The sequence below is a fragment of the Homo sapiens genome, chromosome 2 (genome assembly GCF_000001405.40).
Source record: "Homo sapiens chromosome 2, GRCh38.p14 Primary Assembly".
Taxonomy (NCBI): Eukaryota; Metazoa; Chordata; class Mammalia; order Primates; family Hominidae; genus Homo; species Homo sapiens.
This window is the reverse complement of record NC_000002.12, coordinates 150,749,466-150,751,413: the sequence shown is the minus strand read 5'-3', so window position 1 is coordinate 150,751,413 and position 1,948 is coordinate 150,749,466. Positions and strand designations below refer to the sequence as shown.

Genomic DNA, 1,948 nt, shown 5'->3' with positions numbered 1-1,948 from the left:
TTACTGATATGTTAAAAAATTTACAAGAAAGAATGGATTCAATGAGCAAAGAGATTGAACATTTGGAGAGAAAATAGGAACTATAAAAGAATGAAATGACATTCTAGAACAGAAAAACATAATGTTTGAAATAAAAACGTAATTAGATGGACTGAACAGCAGACTAGCATGCACAAAAACATAGTCAATTTAAAAAGAAGATAAGATGAATTGTTCAAACTGAGTTACAATGAGAAAAGTAAATGAAGAAAATGTCAGAGATTTGTGGAACAATATCATGCAATTGGAGTCCTAGAAGAAAAAGTGATAAGGAAAGTCATATAGATTATTTCAATAAATAATGGTCAAATTTTACCCCAAATTTAACAGATAAACTTAACCCACAGATTTGAGAAGCTCACTGAATGCTAAGTAGGATGAATTGTCACACCACACACACTTATGCATATACGCATGCATGCACAGGCATGTGATAACCAATCTGATGAAATCCAAAGCAAAAGAAAAGTACTGAAAACAGCAAGAGGGTAAGAACACATTACATACAGAGGAGCAATGATTCAATTTATGCCTAACTTCTCATCAGAAACAATAGAAACCAGGAGACAATGGAATGGCATCTCTGAAGCACTTAATAGAACTGTCATGGTAATTCTGTGCATAGATGAAATAATCATTCAAATGTGAAGGCATGTTTTCAGATAAGCAAAACTTGAGAGACTTGTTGTCAGCAGACCAACACAACAGATATTGTAAAGGAAGTTCTTCCATCTAAAGGATCCCATAAATCCAGAAACTAGGATATACAGGAAAAAATAAAGAGTGGTGGGAATGGTAAATGTGTGAGTAAATATAAGAAAATAAATAACATAAGTAAAATTCCTTAATAGGCAAGTGACTGTTTAAGACAAATATGATTACAATTTATCTTATGCTCTATAATTAGTACACAAGAAATATGTGGCCAGGCGCAGTGGTTCAAGCTTGTAATCCCAGCACTTTGGGAGACCAAGGCAGGCAGATCACCTGAGGTCAGGAGTTCAAGACCAGCCTGGCCAACGTGGTGAAACCACGTCCCTACTAAAAATACAAAAATTAGCCAGGTGTAGTGGTGGGCGCCTGTAATCAGAGTTACTAGGGAGGCTGAGGCAGGAGAATCACTTGCACCCAGGAGACAGAGCTTGCAGTGAGCTGAGATTGAGCAACTGTAGTCCAGCCTGTGCAACAGAGTAAGACCCTGTCTTAAAAAAAAAAATCTATGCATATATATATATATACACACATATATATATATATATACACACACACATATATATATATATATACACACACATATATATATAGACGGCATCAAGAACAGGAAATAGGTTATGTTGAAAAATACTACAAGCTTCTTACATTTAAAGTGATAAGATTTTAATTAAAGTTAGATTACTATGAGTTAAGAATGCATTGTGTCATCAGAGCATTTATTAAAGCATTAAGACAAAGATACAGCTAAGGAGCAAATAATGGTGATAAAATTGATAAGAAGCTGATCAAAAGGCAGGAAAAGAAAGGAAGAACAAAGAAGCAACAAATAAGACATATAGAAAACAAAACAAATATGGTAATGATACTCTTCTTTTTTTTTTTTGAGACGAAGTCTTGCTCTGTCACCAGGCTGGAGTGCCATGGCGTGATCTCGGCTCACTGCAACCTCTGCTTCCAGGTTCAAGGGATTCTCCTGCCTCAGCCTCCCGAATAGCTGGGACTACAGGTGCCTGCCACCACGCCCAGCTAATTTTTGTATTTTTAGTAGAGACAGGGCTTCACAATGTTGGCCAGGATGGTCTCCATCACTTGACTTCATGATCTGCCCACCTTGGCCTCCCAAAGTGCTGGGATTACAGGCGTGAGCCACGGTGCCTGTCCACTAATCATACTCTTAAGAAAAGCTTAAGGAATT

The 1,948-nt window shown here is 36.9% G+C and overlaps 1 annotated feature.

The window, feature by feature from the left end:
* Nucleotides 367-882: an enhancer, noted in NCBI's record as "NANOG hESC enhancer chr2:151607046-151607561 (GRCh37/hg19 assembly coordinates)". NCBI's record gives its function as "activates a minimal SCP1, AML or CMV promoter by ChIP-STARR-seq in naive H9 embryonic stem cells {active_cell/tissue: H9 hESC(naive)}" and the evidence as "EXISTENCE:reporter gene assay evidence [ECO:0000049][PMID:30033119]".